The sequence below is a fragment of the Homo sapiens genome, chromosome X, assembly GCF_000001405.40.
Source record: "Homo sapiens chromosome X, GRCh38.p14 Primary Assembly".
Taxonomy (NCBI): Eukaryota; Metazoa; Chordata; class Mammalia; order Primates; family Hominidae; genus Homo; species Homo sapiens.
This window is the reverse complement of record NC_000023.11, coordinates 44,866,383-44,892,784: the sequence shown is the minus strand read 5'-3', so window position 1 is coordinate 44,892,784 and position 26,402 is coordinate 44,866,383. Positions and strand designations below refer to the sequence as shown.

At 42.5% G+C, this 26,402-nt stretch overlaps 1 protein-coding gene and 1 long non-coding RNA gene across 25 annotated transcripts in view, besides 6 other annotated features; both read right to left on the bottom strand.

Moving 5' to 3' along the window:
• Positions 1–19,597, bottom strand: part of KDM6A (lysine demethylase 6A) — a 239,592-nt gene extending 219,995 nt beyond the window's left edge. For 22 of the 24 annotated variants that reach the window (NR_111960.2, XR_007068200.1, NM_001419809.1 and 19 more), the window contains exons 1-2: positions 19,073–19,597; positions 18,798–18,861 (exon numbers count right to left, since the gene is read on the bottom strand). Coding sequence is in view for 19 of the 24 variants with exons in the window: in NM_001419809.1 (NP_001406738.1) it covers positions 18,798–18,861; positions 19,073–19,233 (225 nt within the window). In the remaining 5 variants the exon portion in view is untranslated. Of the gene's footprint in view, positions 1–18,511; positions 18,610–18,797; positions 18,862–19,072 lie in introns of those variants that run through there. The other 2 variants (XM_024452439.2, XM_047442429.1) reach the window with 1 other exon arrangement.
• Positions 13,674–13,815: a silencer, noted in NCBI's record as "fragment chrX:44738216-44738357 (GRCh37/hg19 assembly coordinates)". NCBI's record gives its function as "represses an EF-1alpha promoter that drives an FKBP-Casp9 reporter gene in an ReSE screen in K562 erythroleukemia cells {active_cell/tissue: K562}" and the evidence as "EXISTENCE:reporter gene assay evidence [ECO:0000049][PMID:32094911]".
• Positions 18,598–18,697: a silencer, noted in NCBI's record as "silent region_20787". NCBI's record gives its function as "represses an Ori minimal core promoter by ATAC-STARR-seq in GM12878 lymphoblastoid cells {active_cell/tissue: GM12878}" and the evidence as "EXISTENCE:reporter gene assay evidence [ECO:0000049][PMID:35858748]".
• Positions 18,708–18,787: a silencer, noted in NCBI's record as "silent region_20786". NCBI's record gives its function as "represses an Ori minimal core promoter by ATAC-STARR-seq in GM12878 lymphoblastoid cells {active_cell/tissue: GM12878}" and the evidence as "EXISTENCE:reporter gene assay evidence [ECO:0000049][PMID:35858748]".
• Positions 18,828–19,087: a silencer, noted in NCBI's record as "silent region_20785". NCBI's record gives its function as "represses an Ori minimal core promoter by ATAC-STARR-seq in GM12878 lymphoblastoid cells {active_cell/tissue: GM12878}" and the evidence as "EXISTENCE:reporter gene assay evidence [ECO:0000049][PMID:35858748]".
• Positions 19,428–19,657: a silencer, noted in NCBI's record as "silent region_20784". NCBI's record gives its function as "represses an Ori minimal core promoter by ATAC-STARR-seq in GM12878 lymphoblastoid cells {active_cell/tissue: GM12878}" and the evidence as "EXISTENCE:reporter gene assay evidence [ECO:0000049][PMID:35858748]".
• Positions 19,908–20,407: a silencer, noted in NCBI's record as "silent region_20783". NCBI's record gives its function as "represses an Ori minimal core promoter by ATAC-STARR-seq in GM12878 lymphoblastoid cells {active_cell/tissue: GM12878}" and the evidence as "EXISTENCE:reporter gene assay evidence [ECO:0000049][PMID:35858748]".
• Positions 22,482–25,922, bottom strand: LOC105373190 (uncharacterized). The gene is made up of 3 exons (XR_949040.2): positions 25,904–25,922; positions 25,268–25,388; positions 22,482–22,571 (listed from the first exon to the last, which is right to left on the bottom strand). It is a non-coding gene; the product is annotated as an uncharacterized LOC105373190 (long non-coding RNA).
• Between the last annotated feature and the right edge of the window lie 480 nt (positions 25,923–26,402).

Here is a 26,402-nt window from a genome sequence, read left to right as displayed (position 1 = left end):
CTGATCCACCCACTCGGCCTCCCAAAGTGCTGGGATTACAGGCATGAGCCACCATGCCCAGACAACTTTTGTTTTTTGTTTTTGTTTTTGTTTGAGACAGAGTCTCGCTCAGTCGCCCAGGCTAGAGTGCAGTGGCACGATCTCGGCTCACTGCAAGCTCCACCTCCCGGGTTCACGCCATTCTCCTGCCTCAGCCTCCTGAGTAGCTGGGACTACAAGCGCCGGCAACCAAGCCCAGCTAATTTTTTTTGTATTTTTTAGTGGAGACGGGGTTTCACCATGTTTTGCCAGGATGGTCTCGATCTCCTGACCTCGTGATCCACCCACCTCGGCCTCCCAAAGTACTGGGATTACAGGCGTGAGCCACCACGCCCAGCTTTGTATTTTTTTGGTAGAGACAGGGTTCCACTGTTAGCCAGGCTGGTCTCAAACTCCTGACCCTAAGTAATCCACCTGCCTCAGCCTCCCAAAGTGTTGTGATTAAAGGCGTGAGCCACCGTACCCGGCCTCGAAATCCCAGCAAGCTTTTATGTAGACATAGACAAACTTACTCTAAAATCTATATGAAAAGGCAAAGATCTCAGAATAGCTAAATCAACCTTGACAAAGAAGAATAAAGTGGTGAGACTCACTACACCTGATATTAAGGCTGTAAAACGTAGAGGTTCCTCTTCAAAGACTTTCCTCCCCATCTAATTAGGAATAAATAGTAACTTCTCTTAGAAGCAAAATTTATTGAAAGACCTGTGCGAACATTCTTAAATATCTGCTAGCCATAATAAACAAATCAATGTACTTTATGTTCTTAGCTCCCACAATTAAGCCTATTTGCCCTGGCATGCTTATACTGGTCTAAGCAAGCATTAGGACATAGCCTGTTCCTCTTCCTTATTTAAAGGTGTTTTTACCTTTCTCAACATTCCACAGGTTACTTCCTCCTTCCTTTGTTCTCCTCTGCCTTTGCCTCCTTAAAAAAGTTCTAAGTTGCTAGCCAATCGGGCCAAATAAAAAATGTGAAGTCCCGTTCCAGCCAATGGAAACTGGACACGGCAGTAGGGTGGACGCGTCAGGTTATAAATGACCCTGCCTCCTTTGTTCTGTGGGTGTAGTCTCATAGCAAAACTGCTGGCAAGTGTACCCTTTCTGCAGAAAGTATAAAAATGGCCTTGCTAAGGAATTTAAATTTACATTCAAGTGCTATTTCTTTACAGCACCGGAAAACAAGCATTTCAAACAAGACCTACTATACAATGACAGTAATTAAGATAATGTGATACTGGTGGAGGAATAAGCACGTAGACAAATCGAACATAATAGAGAACCCAGAAATAAACCCCTACAAATATATACGCAACTATTTTTTAACAAAGATTCAAAAGCAATTCAGTGGAGAAAAAATGACCTTTTCAACAAATAATGGTGGAGCAGTTGAACATCTACAGCAAAAACAAAGCTCAACTTCAACCTCACACCTGATATAAAACATGAATAAAAAACTATGAAACTTTTAGAAAAATAAATAAATAAACCTTAGGGATCTAGGGCCAGGCAACATGTTTTTATACTTCACATCAAGATCCATAAAATAAAAATTAATACATTGGACAATAAATTAAAAACCTTTGCACTGCAAAAGACTGTTAAAATCATTCAAAGTTATAGAGCGAGCGGGAGAAAATCCAACCACGTACCTAACAAGGACTACACTCTAGAAAATATAAAGAAATCTCAAAACTGAACAGTTAAAAAAAAAATCCAACTAGAAAATGTGCAAAAGACACGAACAGACATTTTACCAAAGATAATATACAGATGGAAAATAAGAACATGAAAGATGTTCAGGCCAGGTGCAGTGGCTCACGCCTGTAATCCCAGCACTTTGGAAAGCAGATCACCTGAGGTCAGGAGTTCGAGCCAGCCTGGCCAACATGGTGAAACCTCCTCTCTACTAAAAATACAAATATTAGATGTGCGTAGTGGCGGGCGCCTGTAATCCCAGCTACTCAGGAGGCAGAGGCAGGAAAATCACTTAACCCCAGGAGTCGGAGGTTGCAGTGAGCCGAGATCGCGCCACTGCAATCCAGCCTGGGCAACAAGAGCGAAACTCTATCTCGCAAAAAAAAAAAAAAAAAAAAAAAAAAAGTTCAACATCACTAGCCATTAGGGAAATACACATTAAAACCATAATGACCTATCAATACATCCTAACAAGAATGTCAAAAATAAAAACAGCATGAACACCAAATGCTGGCAAGGATGCAGTGAAACTGGAACACTGATACATTGCTGGTAGAAATGTAGGTAGAGCAGCTCCGGGAAACAGTTTGATGGTTTTTATAAAACTAAATATGCAACTACCAGCAATTGTACTCTTGGGCACGTAGCCCAGAGAAAACTTATGTTCACACAAAAACCTGTACACAAATGTTCATAGCAGTTTTATTCACAACAGCCAAAAACCGGAAATAACTCAGATGTCTTTCAAAGGGTAAATGATTAAAGAAACTGTGATGCATCAAAAAGGAACAAACTGTTGATACACAATACAACTTAGATAACTCTCCAAGGATATCTGCTCAATGATCAAAGGGAATTCCAAAAGGATATATACTGTATGATCCCACTTATATAACATTCCTGAAATGACAGAATTATACAAATGGATTTGTGGATAAATGGGTTAGTGGTTGCCAGCGGGTGGGAAGAGATGAAGGAAGGAAGTAGATATGGCTATAAAAGGGGAACAAGACATATATTTTGGTGTGGAACTTCTCTGTCCCTTGACTATATTTCAATATCAGCATCCTGGTTGTAATACTGTACCACAGTTTTGCAAGATGCTACAGTTGGGGGAAACTGGGTAAAGCACACACTAGCTCTATTATTTCTTAAAAATGCATATAAATCTACAATTCTCTCAAAATAAAAAGTCAGATTTTTAAAGTAAGTCAATACATAAGTGTTGCCATTTACAGAAATATATGCATGATATCCAATCTGTCATGTGATGTCCATTTCTGTAAGTAAGGACAACCAAGTCCAACAAGACAAAGAGCCAAAAAACTTACGTTAGATTGTTAAGGACTCCAACTTTCCTTCAGATAGGACTCACCTCTTTTCATAGAATCATGACTATTTAAGGATTAGATAACCTATATAGCCTATTAAAAGTTATCCTCTGAATGTCTGAATGCTGTTTACAACATCCTGGCCAATAGGGTCAATGCACAAACCTGGGCAACCTCAAGGACAGAAGACTTGCTTAATTTTTTCTATCCATTTGTCATCTTTGAAAAGCCGATTTTAAAAAAAAATTTTTTTTAAGTGTTTCCTTAAGAGTTATGAGTTATACTCTGAATCTAACTTACAAACTCCAAATCTATCTTTTTAACTGATAGATTTATAATAAAAGTATAATCATATGCACACAGACACACTCACACAGCAAAATCCAACAAAAGCTTACTTTTGGCAGGGTGCGGTAGCTCACACCTGCAATTCCAGTACTTTGGGAGGCCAAGGTAAGTGGATCACCTGAGGTCAGGAGTTCAAGACCAGCCTGGCCAACGTGGCGAAACCCTGTCTCTACTAAAATTACAAAAATTAGCCAGGCATGTGTCCAGCACCTGGAATTCCAGCTACCTGGGAGGCTGAAGTGAGAGAATCGCTTGAATCCGGGAGGCAGAGGTTGTAGTGAGCCAAGATTGTGCCACTGCACTCCAGCCTGGGCAACAGAGCAAGACTCCATCATAAATAAATAAATAAATAAATGCTTACTTTCAATAGATCAGAAAGTGTCTCAGCTGATGCCAAGCGACTCTTGCTACTCTTAGGCAAACTAAGGATCCTTACTCATCTTTGTAATATCTACATGCCCAGTACCTAATATATATTTATTCAATGTGATATTTCTTATCAATTCATACCTGAGAATTCACTTAACTTTGCCATCACATGAGTTCTAGCAAGCAGGAATATACAGTGATTATGCCTAGAATTTTAAACATCAGATCTGACCTAAGAAATAACAATCCCAACTGTAAGAAAGAAGTGGTTTGGGGAAGTCAAAACACTAAAGAAATACTTTCAAACCAGTCTAAAACTAACTAAATGGTTAATCTTATATTAACAAAAACATGCAACCTAGATTAACAAAAGCATACAAATCTCAATTTCATTATGTGCATTCATTCAGTTTCTGGTCTTAAAAGCTTGAGGCTAAAATCAAAGAAAATTATAATCTAAAACAAAGTTTAATTGTGCCCTCCTTCTAGGTCAAAATCTTCAAGAACTGAGTCAACCCTAAAAATACAAATGAAAAACTAGCTACAAAATTGTGGTGCTATACAGTCATTTTGGAAATTCCTAATTCCTAGCCCTTCATTTTAAGAAACGGCAAAACTGGTGAAACATAAAAATTAAGTGATTGAAATACACAGCAGGTCCTAAAACTCAGGTCTCCAGTTCTCTTTTCTTTTTTGAGAGGGAGTCTCGCTCTGTCGCCTAGGCTGGAGTGCAGTGGCAGGATCTCGGCTCACCGCCAACCTCCACCTCCCGGGTTCAAGCAATTCTCTGCCTCAGCCTCCCGAGTAGCTGGGATTACAGGTGCCCGCCACCACGCCCGGTTAATTTTTGTATTTTTAGTAGAGACGAGGTTTCACCATCTTGGCCAGGCTGGTCTTGAACTCCCAACCTCATGATCCACCCGCCTCAGCCTCCCAAAGTGCTGGGATTACAGGGGTGAGCCACTGCCCTCTGCCAGTTTTTTGTTTGTTTGTTTGTTTTTTAAAGAGACGGAGTCTCACTGTGTTGCCCAGGCTGGAGTGCACTGGCACAATCACAGCTCACCACAGCCTTAAATTCCTGGGCTCGAGCGGTTTTCCCATGTAGCTGGAACTACAAACGAATGCCACCATGCCCAGCTAATCTAAATTTAAAAATTTCTAGAGACCAGGGGTCACTCTATATTGCTCAGTCTGGTCCTGAACTCTTGGCCTCAGGTCTTCAGTTTTCCAATCTATTGTTCTTCCTAGGTATAACACTTACCCTCCCAAGCAAACCAGCATTTTGAGCACTCAGGCTGAAGAAACAATACTAAAGCCTATTAACTATGTTAATGGCGACTGTGCTTAGGATATTTTTCCAGTTAAAGCCATAGGTTCTCCAGGATCAATCCAAATTGTCTTCCCCTAGCATCCTTATTATTAATAGAGATTTTGAGAGAATATGTGATGTGGCCACGGAACACCACAAAACTATGTGGCAAAATCCATGCCATTTTAGTCTAACCAAGCCAGTAGTTCTAAAGCTTTTCTTTCTCCCTGACATACTCACATCATTTACACCTCTACCCAAGAATTAGTAAACTAAACTAGCTGAAAATATTGAACTAATATCCATAGTTGAGCTTCAAGGAAGATTCCCTATACTCTCTGAAATCATATATAAAATGTTTGTAGCTAAAGGGTTACTGACACTCAAGGGGTAAATGACTCCAAAAAAGCACTACTGTCCTAGCTCTATCACCAAATTTTTCATCTTTATAACAAAAATAAACATATTCTGGGCTGGGCATGGTGACTCTTGTCTGCAATCCCAGAACTTTCAGAGGCCGAGGCAGGTGGATCACTTGAGGTTAGGAGTTTGAGACCAGCCTGGCCGACATGATAAAACCCCATCTCTACCAAAAAATACAAAAACCAGGAGTGGTGGCATGCACCTGTAGTCCCAGCTACTCGGGAGGCTGAGGCTGAACCTGGGAGGCGGAGGCTGCAGTGAGCCAAGGTTGCACTACTACACTGCAGCCTGGAGGACAGTGAGACCCTGCCTACAAAAAAAAAAAAAAAAGATATTCATCTATAAGTTAACAAACTAAAGGCTATACTTTTTTGAACTAATCAAGAACCCAAATTTACCTATTTTCTCTTTTCTATAATAAAAACCAAGAAGAAATAATGAAAATAAATGAATCTTACAAATACAAGATAGTAAGTAGGCCGGGCGCGGTGTCTCATGCCTGTAATCTCAGCACTTTGGGAGGCAGAGGCGGGTGGATCAACTGAGGTCAGGAGTTCAAGACCAGCCTGGCCAACATGGTGAAACCCTGTCTCTACTAAAAATACACAAAATCAGCAGGGCGTGGTGGTAGGTGCCTGTAATCCCAGCTACTTGGGAGGCTGAGGCAAGAGAATCGCTTGAACCCGGGAGGCAGAATTTGCAGTGAGCCGAGATCCTGCCACTGCACTCCAGTCTAGGCAACAGAGCAAGACTCTGTCTCAAAAAAAAAAAAAAAAGATAGTAAGTAGTATAACTATGGCTACTTCTATACACATTCACGGAATGAATTAATATTCATGGGGCCTGGTAATCAGTCAGAGCAATAAAACCAAAATATGAAGGCAAAATTTGCCAATTCTTCCAATCAAGAGCTCACAGTAGGTCAGGTGCAGTGGCTCACGCCTGTAATCCCAGCACTTTGGGGGGCCAAGGCGGGCGGATCACAAGGTCAGGGGTTCGAGACCAGCCTGACCAATACAGTGAAACCGTCTCTACTAAAAAAATTAGCCGGGCAGGGTGGCGCATTCCTGTAATCTCAGCTACTCGGGAGGCTGAGGCAGAAGAATCGCTTGAACCCGGGAGATGAAGGCTGCAGTGAGCCAAGATTGCACCACTGCACTCCACCCTGGGCAACAGAGCAAGACTCCATCTAAAAAAAAAAACTACCAGTATTTTCATATAGCAAGAGGTAAAATTAACAAAGCATTTTAACAATATACAATATGATCTCATTTGTGTGATAAAAATATCTAACAGAATATGCTTAAAAGTGAAAAGCTACCCAATAAACTTTTATCAGTGGCTGCCTCTGAAAAAAAGAACTAAGTAAGTGAGAGATGACGTAGGAATTTTTTTTTTGAGACAGAGTCTGACTCTGTCACCCAGGCTGGAATGCAGTGGTGTGATCTCAGCTCACTGCAACTCTGCCTCTGGGTTCAAGCGATTCTCCTGCCTCAGCCTCCCAAGTAGCCAGGACTACAGGCGCCCGCCACCATGCCCGGCTAATTTTTTTTGTATTTTTAGTAGAGACGGGGTTTCACTATGTTGGCCAGGCTGGTCTCGAACTCCTGACCATGTGATCTGCCCGCCTTGGCCCCTGAAAGTGCTGGGATCACAGGCGTGAGCCACCACGCCCAGCCAGAATTTTTTTTTTTTAATATTTGGCTATACTACTCTTCTCTGTATTGTTCCAATTTTAGTATATGTACTGCCAAAGCAAGCACAGAGGGTGATTTTCACTGTACCATCCTTTCTGTCACTTTTCAATTTTGTACTATGTGCAAGTATACCTATATTCAAAAAATTGCATGAAGGTATTTCAAAAGTCAAAGACAATATCATGGCTGCAATTAGGATGGGGGCAGTGGGGATGGAGGGAAACGGATTTGAGATTTGAAATGTAGGCCAGGCACAACGGCTCATGCCTGTAATCCCAGCACTTTGGAGGCCAAGGCCAGAAGATCACTTGTGTTCCAGAGTTCAAGACCAGCCTGGGCAACAAAGAAGGACCTCATCTCTACAAAAAAAAAAAAAAATTAGCTGCACGTGCTGGCACATGCCTATAGTCCCACGTAGCTGGAGTGGGAGGATCCACTTGAGCCTGGGAGGTCAGGCTGTAGTGAGCAGTGATCATGCCAATGCACTCAGCATGGGTAACAAAGTGAGACTTTGTCTCAAAAAAAAAAAAAAAATAGAAATGATGAGGTCGGGTGATTAGGAATTGAGAAAAAGAGATGTCAACAACTATTCCAAGGTTTCTGGCATGGGTAGTGGTAAGTGACATTTACTAAGACAAGGAATATTAAAGACAATTATAAATTCAGTTTGCATATGTTCAGTTTGAGATACCTTCAAGATACCAAGGTAGTCAAGTAGGCAGTCAAACATGTATGTAAATTGGGAACAGGGTGAGTAAAGAGGACCTAAAACACAGCATCCTTGCAAAGACTGAGATGTTGTCAGATACAAAGTCAAAGTAGCAAGGATGTTATGAAAGCCAAGAAAAGGCCTTTTTCAAGAGCTCTTAAGTCTGCCTCCATCTCACCCCATTCCTAAACCACAGCCTTAGTTTAAACTCGTCTCTTCCAAGACGTTACCATTATCCAAGATATTATCTTATACTGAGCACCTTTCATGCACCAAGCCCAATGCCACACACTTTACATTTTTTCCCCTAACACAAAATGCAATAGTCTGCGGGAAATGTATTACTACTTCTACTTTACAGATAAGAAAACTGAGGCTCTGAAAGATGCTTGCTTGCCCAAGGATCACACATCTAGTAAGTGGTAGGAACAGAATTCTATCCTAAAATTCATGCATTGCTATCTACCCATCGGTACTGAAGTTCCTTTCCCTTACACCATATCCTTCTCACAGTGGCCAGTAATATTCCCATAAAACCTACTTCTGGTCATGTCACTTCACCTGATTAGAGAGTTCAGTTTAACAATGCCCCAAAACATCCTACGGCCTATAGTGATGGGGCTTCTCACATGTTCAGTTATCTTTTCCCAATCCCACTGAAACATGCTACCCTCTACCCATACCTGACTATTCACAATTCCTCAAACACCATTTAACTTTATACCTCTAACTCTTTTTTTTTTTTTTTTTTTTTTTTTTGAGATAGAGTTTCACTCTTGTTGCCCAAGCTGGAGTGCAGTGGTGCAATCTCGGCTCACCACAACCTCCACCTCCCGGGTTCAAGCTATTCTCCTGCCTCAGCCTCCCAAGTAGCTGGAATTACAGGCATGCGCCACCACACCCGGTTAATTTTGTATTTTTAGTAGAGATGGGGTTTATCCATGTTGGTCAGGCTGGTCTCGAACTCCCGACCTCAGGTGATCCACCAGCCTCGGCCTCCCAAAGTGCTGGGATTACAACAGGCGTGAGCCTCCACGCTCAGTTTATACTTCTAACTCTTTACCCTCTTTTTCCTCTTGCTACATCTACATGTCTGGTAAATTTCTACATGTTTCATAACCAAGGCTAAATGCTGAATCTTTGTGCAGTTTCCCTCAGTCACTTCTCCAGTCAAAACTAACTGCTCCAGGCCAGGCGGGGTGGCTCACGCTTGTAATCCCAGAACTTTGGGAGACAAAGACGGGAGGATCACTTGAGGCCAAGAGTTCAAGACCAGCCTGGCCAACATGGTGAAACCCCATCTCTACTAAAAATCAAAAAAATTAGCTAGGCATGGTGGCGCACGCTTGTAATCCTAGCTATTCGGGAGGCTGAAGCAGGAGGATCACTTGAACCTGGGAGGTGGAGGTTGCAGTGAGCCAAGATCACACCACTGCACTCCAGCCTGGACGACAGAGCGAGACTCTGTCTCAAAAAACAAACTAACTGCTCCAGCCAGCACAGTGGCTCACACCTGTAATCCCAGGACCTATGGAGGCTGACACGGGCAGATACCTTGAGCCCAGGAGTTAGAGACCAGTCTGGGCAACATAATGAAACCCTGTCTCTACAAAAAAATACAAAAAAGTAGCCAGGCTTGGTGGTTCACGCTTATAGTCCCAGCTACTCAAGAGGCTGAGACAGGAGAATTGCTTGAGCCTGGGAGGCAGAGGTTGCAGTGAGCCGAGATAGCATCGCTGCACTCAGCCTGGGTGACAGCTGACATAGTGAGACCCTGCCTCAAAAAAAAAAAAAAACTTAACTGCTCCAAAATGTGGAGAACCGTTGAAAACAGGAGTTCATTAAACTACCTTCAATACCTGTACATACTTTAAATGATGCATAATAAAAAGTTTTAAATGTTTTAATTACTCCATCATTTCAGAGCTCACAGCACTTTGCATGTATCTTTATTATTACACTTAATACATCATATGATCACTCAGTCTGTCAGCCTCTCCCAACAGACTGACTGCAGGACAGAGGCCAGGTCTTATTGGTTGCCCCAGAACCTGACACAATCCCTCACCCACAGCAGCTCAACAAATGTTTCACCAATCAATCAAGCAAAGCAAAAGCTTTTGTAGTTCTCATTCTGATATTTGAAATTCAGAAACCTAAAATATTTATTTAACTACTGTATCTTGAAAACAAATTTTCCCTAAAAATAAAAACTATCCAGACTCAAGCAACTATGATTCATAAAGTTCTCAGGAAAAATTACCTCTTGTGTCACATATTATGTAATATTCTATCACAGAACACTATAGCAGTATCAAAATACAAACAAAATTCACATCACATACTCAGCTAAACATGTTTTCTACTCATTTTCCAAGCAATTATTTCTTAACTTCCATACAGCAAAAAACAAGGTCCACAGATATTTGAGATTAAGAAATTATTTTACATGTAATAAGGGCATCACGGTTATGTTTCAGAAACAAACATCTATGGATTAAATGCTGTGACTGATTGCTGAGATGTGCTTCAAAATAACATGAGTGAGGGGCAAAATATATATAGATGAAACAGGACTGGTCATGAGTTGCAAACTATTAAAGCTGGGTGATGGTTGATTTGCAATACTTTCTGAAAACACTGAAAATTTTTCCTAATAAACTTTTTTTTCAAAAAGAGAGAAAAATCTAATGAACACGTAATAAATTTGTAGTTTAAAAATAACCCTTTGTCTAAAACAATTTCTTCCACTGTTCTAAACTAAAATGAATTAGATGACCTTATATAATACCCTTAAGTATAACCCCAACTTTCTTCCTGAGAATAAACTTAGCAGCAGCATCTTCTATTTATTCTAACAAAGGCAAAATACTCAGCCAGGCATGGTGGCTCACGCTTGTAATCCCAGCACTTCAGGAGGCCGACGCGGGGGGATCAACTGAGGTCAGGAGTTGGAGACCAGCCTGGCGAACACAGTGAAACCCCATCTCTACTAATAATACAAAAATTAGCTAGGCGTGGTGGTGCACACCTGTAATGTCAGCTACTCAGGAGGCTGAGGAAGGAGAATCGCTCGAACCCTGGAGACGGAGGTTGCAGTGAGTCGAGATTGCGACATTGCACTGCAGCCTGGGCAACAAAAGTGAAATGCCATCTCAAAAAAAAAAAAAAGACAAAATAGTACCACAGAGAAAATTACAAAAAGCATACAAGAATACATTCACAATGGAACACCACCAACAGTTTTAATAATATACAGAAGTAAACAAATGATGGAATATAAGGAAGAAATAGGTAAGAGAAAAAATAATAAAAGCTTATAGAAGAAAGTTGCAAGCAGTCTACAAATTAGCTCAGAAACCTAAAACTGTCTAACAAGGGATTACTCCCACCCTTCCAGGTGACAGTTTTTTTGTTGTTTTTTGTTTTTGAGATGGTGTCTTGCTCTGTCGCCAGGCTGGAGTTCAGTGGCACGATCTCGGCTCACTGCAATCTCCATCTCCTGGGTTCAAGCAATATTCTCCTGCCTCAGCCTCTCGAGTAGCTGGGATTACAGGTACGCGCCATCACACCCAGATAATTTTTGTATTTTTAGTAGAGACGGGGTTTCACCATGTTAGCCAGGCTGGTCTCGAGCTCCTGACCTCGTGATGCCCGCCTCGGCCTCCCAAAGTGCTGGGATTACAGGCATGCGCCACCGCGCCCGGCCCAGGTTACAGTTCTTAATCAGGTCCCAAGTATCAGCCTGTGCCAAATCAGACTCAAAATAAAGTCAGCAATGAAATGCTAAAGATCAAAATGAAGAATGAGCGCAGTGACTGTCACAAAGCCATCTAAAACACAAAGAAATAGGACCTAATTGGGTACATCTCTACTCCATTCACTCCTACCCTCACTGAAGGAACATCAAGTTCAAAAGTATCCCAACTTCAGACTGTAATTAAAATGCAAGAAAGGCCTTTACAAGTATCTCTTCTAACTATAGACATGGTAGTTTAAACCCATTTTTAGTCAACCAAAATATAACATTCTGGTGTACTATCAGAGTACTTTTTTTTGTTTGTTTGTTTGAGATGGAGACATGCTCTGTTGCCCAGGCTGGAGTGCAGTGGCGCGATCTCGGCTCACTGCAACCTCCGCCTCCTTGGTTCAAACAATTCTCCTGCCTCAGCCTCCCAAGTAGCTGGGATTACAGGCGCCCACCACCACGCCTGGCTAATTTTTTGTGTTTTTAGTGGAGATGAGGTTTTGCCACTTTGGCCAGGCTGGTCTCGAACTCCTGACCTCAGTTGATCCATCCGCCTCAGTCTCCCAAAGTGCTGGGATTACAGGCACGAGCCACCACGCCTGGCCTTATTGTATTATTTTTAAGGTAATATATGTCTACGGTGTTAAAAAAAAAAAAAAAAGCAGTACAGAAATCTATAAAACAGTTTAAAATCTCCCCTCCTTCTCACCCCAAAAGTGTCTTGTACTCCAAGATGACCATTAAGTCATCCTGAGTGTCCTTCCAAACTCTGTCAGAGAATTTAAATTGACCCATGAACACTCATTTAAGAATCTCAAGTTAAGAACTCATAACAAGGTAAATATTACTACAAAATGAAATCAAAGAAGGACAGAACACACAGCAGATCATCCTTTGAACATCTGCTAAAAGCTAAAATGTGATTTTTTTTTTTTTTTTTTGAGATGAAGTCTCGCTCTGTCGCCCAGGCTGGAGTGCAGTGGCACCATCTCAGCTCACTGCAACCTCTGCCTCCCAGGTTCAAGCAATTCTCCTGTCTCAGCCTCCCAAGTAGCTGGGACTACAGGTGCACGCCACCACGCCCGGCTAATTTTTATATTTTTAGTAGAGACGTGGTTTCACCATATTGGTCAGGCTGGTCTCAAACTCCTGACCTCAAGTGATCCGCCCACCTCAGCCTCCCAAAGTGCTGGGACTACAGGTGTGAGCCACCACACCCAGCCTTAAAATGTGATTTTTAAATCATGTTTTCCTAAACAAAATTATAAGATGCCTTGCTAACATCTAAATCAAGAAATACCATCTCCAAGAAACACAATCAACAAACAATCCCCATCTTTAAGAGCCATTCTAACTTGTGAATTGTTAAATTTACCTTTCTCATAAACTTTCAGAATATTTCACATTTTTCTTCTCCCAAAGATGGTCCTGTGTTAGTCACCCTTAAACTTATCTCACCCCTCTTAAAGAATTTAAGTTCAACACGGGCAAGAAATATCTATGCTATCTTCATACTATCTACATAGAAGGCTTGCACATAGTGTACATTAATATACTGTTTTAATTTACTGTCACGATAATTTACAAACCAATGTGGAAAACTGATAAAATTATATGTGAAGTTTCAATATGAGTACTTAAGACTGTCAATTATGCATTCATTAAATAAACTTTATTAATTAACTAATCTACAAATAATACATGTGAGTCCTAAACAGCCTAACCACCATTTCAATTCTTAGACAAGCTGGTAGTGTTTTCTTAACATAAATTAGCTCTCTAGATAACACATTTCAAAAATATTATTAATAATGCAGTGTTAGCAGTCATTAACATCAATTTCAAAGAGTTCAACGCATCACAATGAATTTCAAAGTAAAAATAAACTTAACAGAAATCCTTTCAAAGATGCAGAATATTGGTACTATGTAAACAAAAACTAAATGTTACATAATTTAAGTCAGAAAAAGACTTACTCTGCAGCTAGCCAAGCAATGAACTTTCATTTTGGTTTAAAGTGCATGACCTATCACTTCACCTAAGTCACAAAAATTCATCTCTCAGGCAGTTTTTCTTAACAGCTTAAGATATTGGCCAGGTGCGGCGGCTCACACCTGCAAAGCCAGCACTTTAGGAGGCCATGGTGGGCTGATCACGTGAGGTCAGGAGTTTGAGACCAGTCTGGCCAACACGGTGAAACCCCACCTCTAATAAAAACACAAAAATTAGCCGGGTGTGGTGGCAGGCACCTGTAATCCCAGCTACGCAAGAGGCTGAGGCATAAGAATCACTTGAACCTGGAAGACCGAGGTTGCAGTGAGCCGAGATCACTCTACTGCACTCCAGCCTGGGGGATAGTGTGAGACTGTCTCAAATTAAAAAAAAAAACAAAAAGTATCTAGAGGTGGCAGTCAAATGCTCTCTAGTTATTTCAATTTGTAATTGATTCGACAGAAAGAACTATTTACTGAAAAAGAAAACCAGAACTTTAAAAGTGCCTGTTTATGTATTGCTGCAGTTCTAATTTGTGACCAAATATGCAAATATGTTCTATAATCTTAGTATATCTTTATTACCAGGCACAAATCAAAACTTTAGGAAATACCAAGTATATAAGACTTTGTCCACGTAAAAAATTAAGACTGCAAGTGTTCAGAAGACAATCTTCCAAACTAGAAAACTCTTTAAAACACAAAGCATGACATTATTTCCATGGCTACTTTCTTTTTTTGTTTGTTTTTGTTTTTTGAGACAGGCTCTCATGACTTTTCTAACCAAAACACTAGCCATCTTTAGCACTGGAAATGAATTTACAGGTTGAGCATCCCTAATCTGAAAATCCAAAATCTAAAACTTTTTGGGTACCAACATGACACTCAAAGGAAATGCTCATTGGAGCATTTTGGAATTCAGATTTTCAGATTAGGGATGCTCAACTGGTATGTATTCTGCAAATATTCTGAAACCCAAAAAAATCCCAAATCCAAAACACATCTGGTTCCAAGCATTTTGGATAAAGGATACTCAACCTGTATGCCTTTAAGTGCCAGCAAACAAAAAACACACATAAATGAGAATGTTTTTAATCAACATCCAAATATTACAATTTAAAAAAGCCACCTCTAGAACTGACCTAATAATTTCCCCTACCAAACACGCCAGCAAACCAAATTTAAGAAAATATGTTTCAATGGATCTTAAACTACTTCTATTATCAAAAAAATTTAAAACACCAACTGTTTTAATGCTAATATGTCCTACGGAAAAAAGCACATACATTTTTAAGTGATATACAATCTATAACTTCTAAGTATTTTGTATAATCTTTCTACTAATAGAATTACCAAAAAAATTTCCAATAAGAGTATTTAAGAAAAACTTAAAAATAAGATACTTTGTTCAAAACTGTGTATTTTAGCAATAGTTCCCTGACGCAGATAAGATTCCCCAGTCCCCTAGCATTATTACTATAACTATACTTGGTAGTACTACTATATTTAAACTTACTACATTTATGGTATATATTCGTATATATTCTACTTTAACTCAAATCCTTACCCTACTTAAAAAAAAAAAAACCCAAAAGGTTTTCAAAAATGTACTAAAAAAGTCACAAGTTAATTTCTGTTAAAATATTTTGCTTAGTTTTCGATAACTCCACTGAAATTTTAAAAATAAGAATCTTGAATTATTACATTACCAGAAGATTAAGGGTCAGCATTCAAGAGCACTGTTCAAGATCACCCTATATCACAAGAACTCTAATTACGCAGGCTCTAGCTGTTTACAACCTTAAAGACATTACCAAAAAATAATACATTGTATTAACTACCTTATTTTTTTAATCCAAAACCCCAGGCATTGTATATCAAATGGCCATCCTACAAACAAAAAATTCTTTCAATGACTCTAATATAACTGAATCTGACAAAAACATTCGGGAGACGATGAGAAATCAGTGGTTTGAATAAACTGCACACCTGGAAAAGGAATACACATATAGATATGTACATACGTATACATACGCATATGCATATATATACATATATGTGTATACGCATATACATACGTATGTATATACATGTATATATGTATACACGTATACGTGTGTATATACGTATGCGTATACGTGTATATACGTATTCATATACGTGCGTATATACGTATACGTGTGTATATGCGTATATGTATATGTGTGTATACGTATATGTATACGTGTGTATATATGTATATGTACACGTGTGTATATATGTATACGTACATATGTTAAGGGACAAGTAAGAGACATATTTAATGCTTTCAACTTTCTAAAGCTTTTAGGTCAAGAGTTTTTTTTAACATACAAATGTGAATTTTAAAAACTTGAAAGAAAATCCAATAATATACATAGGAATAAGAATTTTTGAAAACAAGTAGTAATAGCTAAATTTCTGCCAGAAAGGAAAACGTTATACAAAGTGCAGACTAAATTGGGGCCGGGGGGTTGGGGGTGGGGGGGCATGGCAGGACAAAAATCAAAGCTAAAAAGGGAATTCTGGGAGTTATTCAATTCCATTATCTGCCCTCAGGTAAGTAGCCTAAACCTGCCCAGTAAAGGAAAGCCAACTCTTAAGACTTTCAGGGAATAAGAATTCTGAAACCAACATAGCTCAACATTCCACAAAAAATAAAAATAAAAAACAAAAAAATACTGCTTCGAGGACTGTTAAAAGAAGGATGAAACTAAATAATTCAAGACTTCCTACAGCAGGACTCCAGCTCATTCACTTCATTCAGAACCCAATTCAAACAGAGGGTGCGAAGTTATATAATGTCAGGCTTTACATTACACACCCCACTGGTATGTTCAGGCTCACAAAGATGCAACCAAGAACTATATGCGGTTGCAAGCACATATTACAGAAGGTTTTATTTTAATGTTAAGGCTGATGAATCTTGTCCTAAGCAGGTAGGACACCTCACAAGCACTGAGTCTGAAGCAGTGAAGATTTTTTTTTCTTTAGTTTAACAAACTGCTTAATCGTTCATCAAATTACCCCATATATCATGAAGGCCCCAAACATAGTGAAGCTTCACTAGTTTTTCATTTTTAAGATGTATTCAAACATCAAGTAATGCACAACTTGCCAAGAATATTTGAAAATGGTTACTTTTTTAAAATTTAAACTCGTTAGTGCATAACTGCAGGGTTTAATATTACAATCCGAAATCCAATGTTAAGCACTATTCGCAGTGAATCTATATGAATATGAGCATTCTAAGACATAAAATCAACTAGCATTTTACACATTCTCAACATAAAACATCAGATTCCATTTATTTTTTCATCACCATAACCAAAAGCAATCGATTTGGCCAAACTTTTCCACGTGAATTATCTTTGCAAGCAATTTTATTAACCCATGTTAGACCAACAATAATCCCTCCAAAACAAAATAATGCTCTTTTAATTTAAATCATGTTTAATCTTTTATAATGACAACTTTGACAGCAGTCAAATATTTTTAAATAAAATACTTTAAATACTCAAATTGGAAAAAAAAAAAAAAACTTTAAGGCAGGAGACCAACAATTACTGACGCTTAAATCTTTCCAGAGCTAGTCACTGTTCATTTTTACAGCAATAATTGTAATGAAGCCAATTAATACCTACGTAGTCAAAGTTTAATTCAAGTTTTCTGTATCGGTCAAAGGGGCCGGGCTTACTGAAAAGCATTATTTCCATTTAGTTTTCTGATTATATGCAATATAACACCTTATAATTACTTTGAAATAAAAACAAATGTGTAATTACAGATAAAAAGGAATTGATGACTCTGCGAAACCAAGCTACAGACAAAAATTCAGAACAACAAAAAAATCAACTTAAGAATAAAATGTTAGACTTATTTCAAACTTGCGTCTCAACTGCAACAATAAAGCTAGGTGTCAAATGCAAAGCTATGATTTCAGCTAGAAAAGAAAATGTCTAACGGATACAACACCCATAGCACACACTCCAACTTTCACGGTCCCAATTACGAAGAAAGTATTCAAATACCATTGCAATCAGATTTTGGTCAGGAAATATAAACTGATGCATACAGATTGAGACTCCAGCCTTTGTTCAATAGCTTACAGATGGATAACTAAATGTGCTACAGGTTGATAAGCATTTACCAGGCTTATGCATGCTGCTTCCAAGCTTATGAAAGGTATAAGAATTCTATATGCAAATAATCTTGGGTAATTTTTTTTAAACACCACTGAGCTACACACTCCGAAGGAAAGGCTTATTCACGGCTACTATTTATTTCCATGTTTACCTCTACACCCTCCCCCTAACCCCCCCCTTCACTTTCTCCTCCCACCCTGTCCCGCCATCTTGGGCCGATAGGAGCAGCCATTACTTAACTAAATGACAGTGCCAACAACTTTCCACACAAATAAAAAAAGACTACACCCCGAATCCTCCCCAGCCTCCCCTGTCAGACACACAGGAAATGAGGCTCCAGGAAGAGAACACGTTTACAAATAACTACGGTATTTCTATGCCAAAAAGACCCAAAAAGTAAACAAGTCACCTAACTTCAGGTAACACACACTGCAATCGAGATACATGTCAACAGCCCAATGCAAACTCTTCACCGACCTAAACTCCGTGAAACTTCCCCCTTCTGGGAGCGGGGACACAAGAAAGCCTAAAACATTTGGTTAGCAGTAGGCATCACGAACAGCCTGCTTGAAGGAAAAGAATTTTTTTAAACCCGTAGAGGCAAGTTAAGTCCGAAATTTGGGAAAATCTGAACACACTCACGATCCCTTGACCCTAAACAGGCACCTCGAAGATCATCGGCCTACCCTCAAAAAGCTGTAAAATAGCAGGCAGTTGTGTCGACCCAGTTGAGCCCGGCCCCAAAGCGATCCCGTCTCTGTTCCTCCAGCTACAAGAGGAAAAGAGCGATTTCGCAAGGGAGCAAGCAGGGTACCCGGGGGTGGGGGGAGAGCAGAGGCAGGAAATAGTTTCCGGAAGCCCCTCGACCATCGTCCGTGGCCACAATGAGCACAGACCCGGCCGCGGGGCCCGGGGCGAGCGCGGCGCCGGCCAGGGAGACGGTGTCCGCGCTCCGACTCGCAGCTGCCTTACCTTGCCCAGTAGGGCCTTCGTCCTGGCGCCATCTTCATGAAATCTCACGAACCCAAAGAGGCGGCTGTGGAGACAGACACAGTTTACTCGTTAACGCTCAGGGAACGCCACCGACCCGTCCCTGCCCGAGCCCGAGGCCCCAGCGGAGGCGGCGCGAAGAGCGCCAAACCGAGGTGCCCGCCCCGCCGCCGCCAGAGACAAGCCGCGCTCGGTCCTCCCGGGAGAGCGGCTACTGCCCGTCCGGAGCCGACCGGGCGAGTGACGGCGGCCCGTACCTGTCCAGTCCGCCGAGCGCCTCCCTCTCCTCGGCTGTCAGGCTGGGGGACGCCTCCTCGCTCTCGCCGCTCGCTTTTCCCGCCGCCATTTTCTTTTCCTCATCACCGAAAGCGGCGGCGGCAGCGGCGGCGGTAGCGAGCGACACTCCGCAGGATTTCATGGAAACGCAGCGAATTCACAACTCCAACGCCGACACCCCCCCTCGGACCGGGGCCCGCAGTGACGCCCCCAATCTGCGCGCGGGACCAGCACACCAACTTTATCGCCGCCTCCTCCTCCGCCGCGGGCGGCGGCGACGAAAAATCCCAACGCGGCGGCGGTGAAGGCGGCGGCGGCGGCGGCAGGGGCTGCGGAGCCCCCGGGTCGGCAGCGGCGGCTTTCGGCTGTAGGGTCACATCGCGGGGTTGGGCAGGGGGCAGCCACAGGCGGGGACGGCGGGAACGGCCGGAGCGCGCGGGGCTGGGGAGCACTGAGGGGATTCGTTGGAGACACAAACTTCCCCGGCACCAGCACAAAGTTGTTGTAATTGTGTCACACAGCGAACCCCACGCCGCCGCCGTGACCCCCCCTCCCCGCCCGGCTGGCGCCACCAATCGGCGCGGCCCGCACGCCTCACGTGACCTTTGTTGACTCACGTCAGCCGTGGCTCCACTTAACTTGCTAGCTGCCCGAGCCCCGCCCACCGAGGCCGCCACCGAGATGGGAGCGGGACGCAGGCCAATTCTAGCCGGTGGTTGGCTGCTGGGCGCGTCTGTCGGGGGAAGGGTTGTCACCGAGAGGGAGCTTCCTGTTAGGTTGTGCTGGTTAAATACACTGGGGCAGAGAATGGAGGGTCCGGGCCGTGTCACCTCGGGAACCGCGGCGGGCTCTGGAGGGGGAGGGGAGTGGTGGGGAAGGGCGAGGTCCGGCACCGCCCGCGGCGGGCGCGAGCGGCGGGCGAAGACGCCAAGGACGGCATTTGCCTGCCCGCGAGCTCTGGGATGTGCCCAGACCGCGGCTCCGGCCGTCCCGCGCGCGCTCCAGGGGTCCCGGGACCCCACAGGGCCTGGTACAGGTCGCGTAGCCGGGAGGCGGCGCACGGCCCTCGACCTCTGCCCTCCGAAGAAGGCTCAGACTTTTGGCACTGCTGGAAATAATGGCCTCCGCGAGGAGGGCGCTCGGGGAGCGGCTGCCGGTCCCGTGCCCCGCGGTCCGGGTGCCGCCCTAGGCCAGACCTGCGCTGGCAGCCCCGATCACCTCACCCGCGCCGAAAGTGAAGGGGGAAGGGCTCCCCTGACCCCCGCCCATACGCCCCAGGCCGGAGGGAATGAAGAGTCGCCCGCGGGGCCTGGCTTGCCGACCATGGCTCCCCACCGCCAAAGGTCTGTCTGTTGGCGGCACTTTGGGGCCAGATTTTCGTGCTGTGTTTACCCTGTGTCTTATCAGTAGTTCATTACAGTCTTACAAGAAAAAGCAATGAGAAATTGTGAAGCGGGATCTGCAGAATGTTGGGTTCTATTGCCATGATTTCAGTGGAGCCTTCTTACAAAAGTAGGGGCTGCTTGTGGACAGACCTGAGAGAAGACATAATTAAATCATCACAGCTGGTGGCCCAAGAAATCCTTTCTATCCCCCAAAACCTGCAGGTTTGTAACCCCTAGACAACAGTAACATTTTGTTGTTCTGTCTCTCAGGTGCAGGGGAAAGGCTTTAGTCTGACTTTTAATCTTTACTATAGGTGAAAAAAAAATAGGCCTTTCGACTACTCTTCTCAAAAGGCAAATTTATTTACTAAGCTGTATGTCTTATAACAGGGATAGGAAAAAATTGATAGACATATAAGGACAAGATTCTGTTTATAAACGGAGTTTTTTATATTTTCAATAGGTTTTCCACCTGTAACCAATAAAAATTATATATTTAAACTTGGATTTCAAAATATGACGAAGACAATTCAGTGCTGACCCAGTAATTCCTACCAGTATTCAGCGGGAAGCTATGGGAATCCCAACTGATTTTGCACACAGTTTTAAATTGTTCCCCTGAGACTAGTAACTAGACGAACAAACTGTAGTTTTGTATAGATTATAGTTCATGTTTAATTACTTCCTCTGAAACACCTTTCCCTTTATGATACTCCATTTTGCTTGAATGAGTGTGTACAAAGGGCCAAATCTTTTCTACGGCTAAATTAATACATTGTTAACTTTGTCACAAATGGTGACATTTAAAGCCAAGGAAATTTTGACCCCAGTAACTCGCTCGCACACTCTCTCATACACACACACACACACACACACATACACACACACTTGCACAAGCACAGATAGACATTTTGCTGGTATTTGACTATCTCCCTGAAGTTAGCAGTTCCTGACTCAGGTCCTTTTCAAGGATTATAAGGCTACTCAATCCCGGCCGGGCTCTGTGGCTCACGCCTGCAAAGGGAGGCCGAGGCGGGCGGATCACGAGGTCAGGAGTTGGAGAGCAGCCTGGCCAATGTGGTGAAACCCCACCTCTACTAAAAATACAAAAAACAAAATTAGTCGAGCATGTGGCGCTCGCCTGTAGTCCCAGCTACTCGGGAGACTGAGGCAGAAGAATCGCTTGAACCCGGGAGGTGGAGGTTGCAGTGAGCCATGATTGCACCTCTGCACTCCAACCTGGGGACAGAGTGAGGCTCTGTCTCAAAAAAAAAAAAAAAAAAAAAGGCAGCCAGGCGCTTTGGCTCACGCCTGTAATCCCAGCACTTTGGGAGGCCGAGGCAGGTGGATCACGAGGTCGGGAGATGGAGACCACGGTGAAACCCCGTCTCTACTAAAAATACAAAAAATTAGCCGGGCGTGGTAGTGGGCGCCTGTAGTCCCAGCTACTCGGGAGGCTGAGGCAGGAGAATGGCGCGGAGCTTGCAGTGAGCCGAGATCGCGCCACTGCACTCCAGCCTGGGTGACAGAGCGAGACTCCGTCTCAGAAAAAAAAGGCTACCCACTCTCCACACCTCAACACTTTTCTTCCCGCTATTACTATGTAATAGCAGAACAGCAAGGAGTGGATGCAATGGGTGGGAGTTGGAGTGAGGCAGACCTGGATTCGAATCCTTGCTCTACACAGGCTGTGCGACCTTGAGAACATTACCTATCCTCTAGGCCAGTGCTCTATGTCTATTACAACTACAAGGATCTATCATCAAGCATGGGACAAATTTCATATGGTAACATAAGTCCTTACATCATACACATGTTACATAGTGTGTTATCTGTCAAATGTATGTAAAATAGATATAGAGCCTATAAGGTTTACATATTTCACTGGAGAGAGAAATAGGGACATACAATAAATGATTTTATAATAAATTTCCATGAAAAGTGAATCTGAAAACCCCACCGGAAGGCAGAGTAGTGCAGCCAAAGGAGCATGAATTGTGGAATCATACAGCTCTAGGTTCAGATCCTACCTTTACCACTTGATAGCTAGGCAGACTTCAACAAGTTAGTCTAATTTGAGCTTCAGTTCTCTCATCTGTGAAAAAGAGAAAATACAGCCACTTTATAACATTATTTTAGATGCCATAAGGTAGGTAAAGTGCCAGACACATAGATTCAAAAATCTCAATAAAATAGGAAGGCTGGAATTTCCAAAATTTTTTCTTGCTTTCACAATCTGGGTTCTAAATTTATTATTACTCTACCCATCACTTCCTCCTTCTCCCTCCACAACCTCACTATAAGCCCAACACATAAGCAGTCCTAAGTACTTTATACTTGAGGCATATAACCCCAGTATTGCTACATCTCTCATTTATTCTAAACTTCGGCCTTATAAGCCGGGTGCGGTGGCTCACGCCTGTAATATCAGCACTTTGGGAGGCTGAGGTGGGCAGATCACCTGAGGTCAGTAGCTCCAGACCAGCCTGGCCAACATGGTGAAACCCTATCTCTACTAAAAAAATGCAAAACTTAGCCAAGCATGGTGGCACATGCCTGTAATCCCAGCTACTTGGGAGGCTCACGCAGGAGAATCGCTTGAACCTGGGAAGCAGAGGTTGCAGTGAGCCAAGATCATGCCATTGTACTCCAGCCTCGGCAACAGAGCAAGACTCCATCTCAGAAAAAAAAAGAAAATAGAACATTCATCCTTATATCACTTAGTACTGATTCTTTTTCATAATTCTAAATACACCAGGAGCTGGGGAAAGTTTAATCTGAATTTAGCAAATTAATACGACTAATATATGTATAGATAAATCAATATTATAAAATTATATAAAATCTAGCTAAGTCAGATTACAGACTAAGTACATAATTTGTAGCAATATTATGTTAATATTTATGTAAGTACCATCAACTAATTAGAGAAGGAACCCATTTAAGTATAGGAAAATAATGTGACTTTCTTTTAAACAACGAAATATTTAACCTGAAGCACTTAGGAATATTTAGTGTGTTTATAATGTTAGTGCCATATAACCTTTACAGATAATAAAAAGTCACATAACAGAGTCATAGTTTATCTAGTCTTATCAATAGAACTATACGTAAATGTTACGATCAAACATAGGTTCAAAAAAATTTACCAGTTCTTCCCATACTTACCACTGTCATAGAGACTATCCAGCTGATGCCAGAACACAAAAATGACAGAAATAGATATATGGTTAGGTTTGAGCAGAGACAGGGAGCCAAGGATAAATGGACTTTCAGTTGTTATGAAAACTTCAGTTGTGAGAATAGAGTTAGGACTGCTAGAAGATGCCTGGACTCCTACCTTCACCAGGCTGTAATGAGGCACCTCACATCCCACCCCCGCCAACACACACACACAACTGCACTAGGCAGCCTGGACTTCCACCCAGCAGTTGTGAGGGGTCAGTACCCATCCCTGCTGAATTAATGTCAGAGTCGTCAAAACTTTCATCACTGCCCAGTGGTATACTACCACCCCCCCCATTGTATCAGTGGAGGGGGAGCAATGTAGGGAACAATAATGAGGGACTCCTATACTGCCCAGCTAGGGTGAATGGAGGCCTCAATCTAGGCCTGGTAGGGAGCGAGAACTCCCATCCCCACAAAGCAGTAACAAGGAGACATTGCACTCATTGTCAACCAAGATTGAGGGGGAAAGCTGGACTTCCACCCACACCTGGCAGTAACAAGAGAATGCCCCCTTTGCCCCCACTAGAGCAATGTCAGAGGAGGCCTGCTAAAATACAAGATTTAAATAAGATCTAGAGTCTTGGCCGGGCGCAGTGGCTCATGCCTGTAATCCCAGCACTTTGGGAGGCGAAGGCGGGTGGATCAGCTGAGGTCAGGAGGTGGAGTCCAGCCTGACCAACATGACAAAACCTCATCTCTACTGAATACAAAAAAAATTAGCTGGGCATGGTGGCACATGCCTATAATCCCAGCTACTTGGGAGGCTGAGGCAGGAGAATTGCTTGAACCCCGGAGGCGGAGGTTGCAGTGAGCCAAGACTGTGCCATTGCACTCCAGCCTGGGCAACAGAGTGAAGCTCTGTCTCAAAAAAAAAAAAAAAAAAAAAAAATCTAGAGTCTCAGAACACTGCCCAAAATATCCAGGTTTCAATAAAAAAATTACTCATCATAGCAAGACCCAGGATAATTTCAAATGAGAAAAGGTCAACAGATGCAAACACTAAAGTGAATCACATGTTTAAATTATCTAACAAGGGCTAGGCATGGAGGCTCACGCCTGTAATCCCAGCAATTTGGGAGGCCAGGCAGAAGGATCACCCGAGGTCAGGAGATTGAGACCAGCCTGGCCAACATGGTAAATCCCTGTCTCTACTAAAAATACAAAAATTAGCTGCGCATGATAGCGCACTCCTGTAATCCCAGCTACTACTTGGGAGGCTGAGGCAGGAGAATTGCTTAAATCTGGGAGGCGGAGGTTGCAGTGAGCCAAGATCGCGCCATTGCACTCCAGCCTAGACTACAGATTGAGATTCTGTCTCAAAAAAAAAATAAAATAAAATAAAAATAATAGCAAACAAACAACTAAAAAACTAGAAGGCCTCAGAAGAGCAAGAAGAAGTTTCAGAAAAAAAAAAAAAGACACAAAGTATTGTTGAGCAAGTGGCATCTGTGGCCCTATTGTCAGGAGGAGATGTCCAAGCACTTCTGCCCACTGCATCTTGGTACCAGGATCTCCAAGGAAAATACAATTCAGTCAAGCCCCGGGTAGAATAACTTTACTCACATAGAGAAGACACACAGCAAGATCGGCTTCAGTAGTGGACATTAGTTCTCCCTGGCCAACAGGTCCCTCCAACAGCCAACACACTCCTCTTGTGCTGCAGCAGAAAGATCTCATCCTCTCCCTGCAGTGGACAGATATACTAGTGGTGTGGCCCAGATGCCACGTGACACATATATTTAAGCAGAACAAAGGAGCACACATTGAGTCTGAAACAAAGACAGATATTCCCACACAAGGTAACAAGTCTAGTACAGGCTGTGAGAACTCTCCATCCCTTGGTAAGGAAGTGTTCCAGGCTCAAGGCCTATTCTCATGTGGCTGATAGGGGAGCAAAAGACTGCACCCATGGAATCAAACGAAAATTTTAGAACAAAAAAACAGAATGATCAAAATAAACTTCACATATGGGCTCAATAGCAGAATGGTGGGAACAGAGGAAAGAATCCATGAACCTCAAGACAGAACAATAGGAAATACCTGGCTGGGCAGGGTGGCTCACACCTATAAACCCAGCACTCTGGGAGGCCAAGGCGGGTAGATCACCTGAGGTCAGGAGTTCAAGACTAGCCTGGCCAACATAGTGAAACCCCATCTCTACTAAAAATACAAAAATTAGCCGGGCATGGTGGCACCTACCTGTAATCCCAGCTACTCAGGAGACTGCCGCAGGAGAATCGCTTGAACCCGGGAGGCAGAGGTTGCAGTGAGTTGAGATTGGGCCATTGCACTCCAGCCTGGGTGACAGTGAGAACCTGTCTCAAAAAAAAAGAAAAAAAAAAAAAAAGGACATACCCAATCTGAACAACAGAGAGAGAATAGACTGAAAAATAAATAAATAAATAGAGCCTCAAGGATCTGTGGCACTGTAACAAAAGACACAACACTTATGTCATCAAGTCACAGAAGGAGAGGAGAAATGGAGAAATTAGGCATAGCCAAAAAAAGTACGTCAAGAAATAATAGCTGAAAATGTCCAAAATTCACATCATCCTTGTAATTAAGCTACTCTTTCTTGGAGAGTTGTATAAACAAATTCTATACTATAATCCAGAGTGATGAGTGCCATGACCTATGCCCAAATTTCTGTGGGAGCACACAGAAGAGGCATCTTTGTCAGCCTAGAGGGACCAGGGAA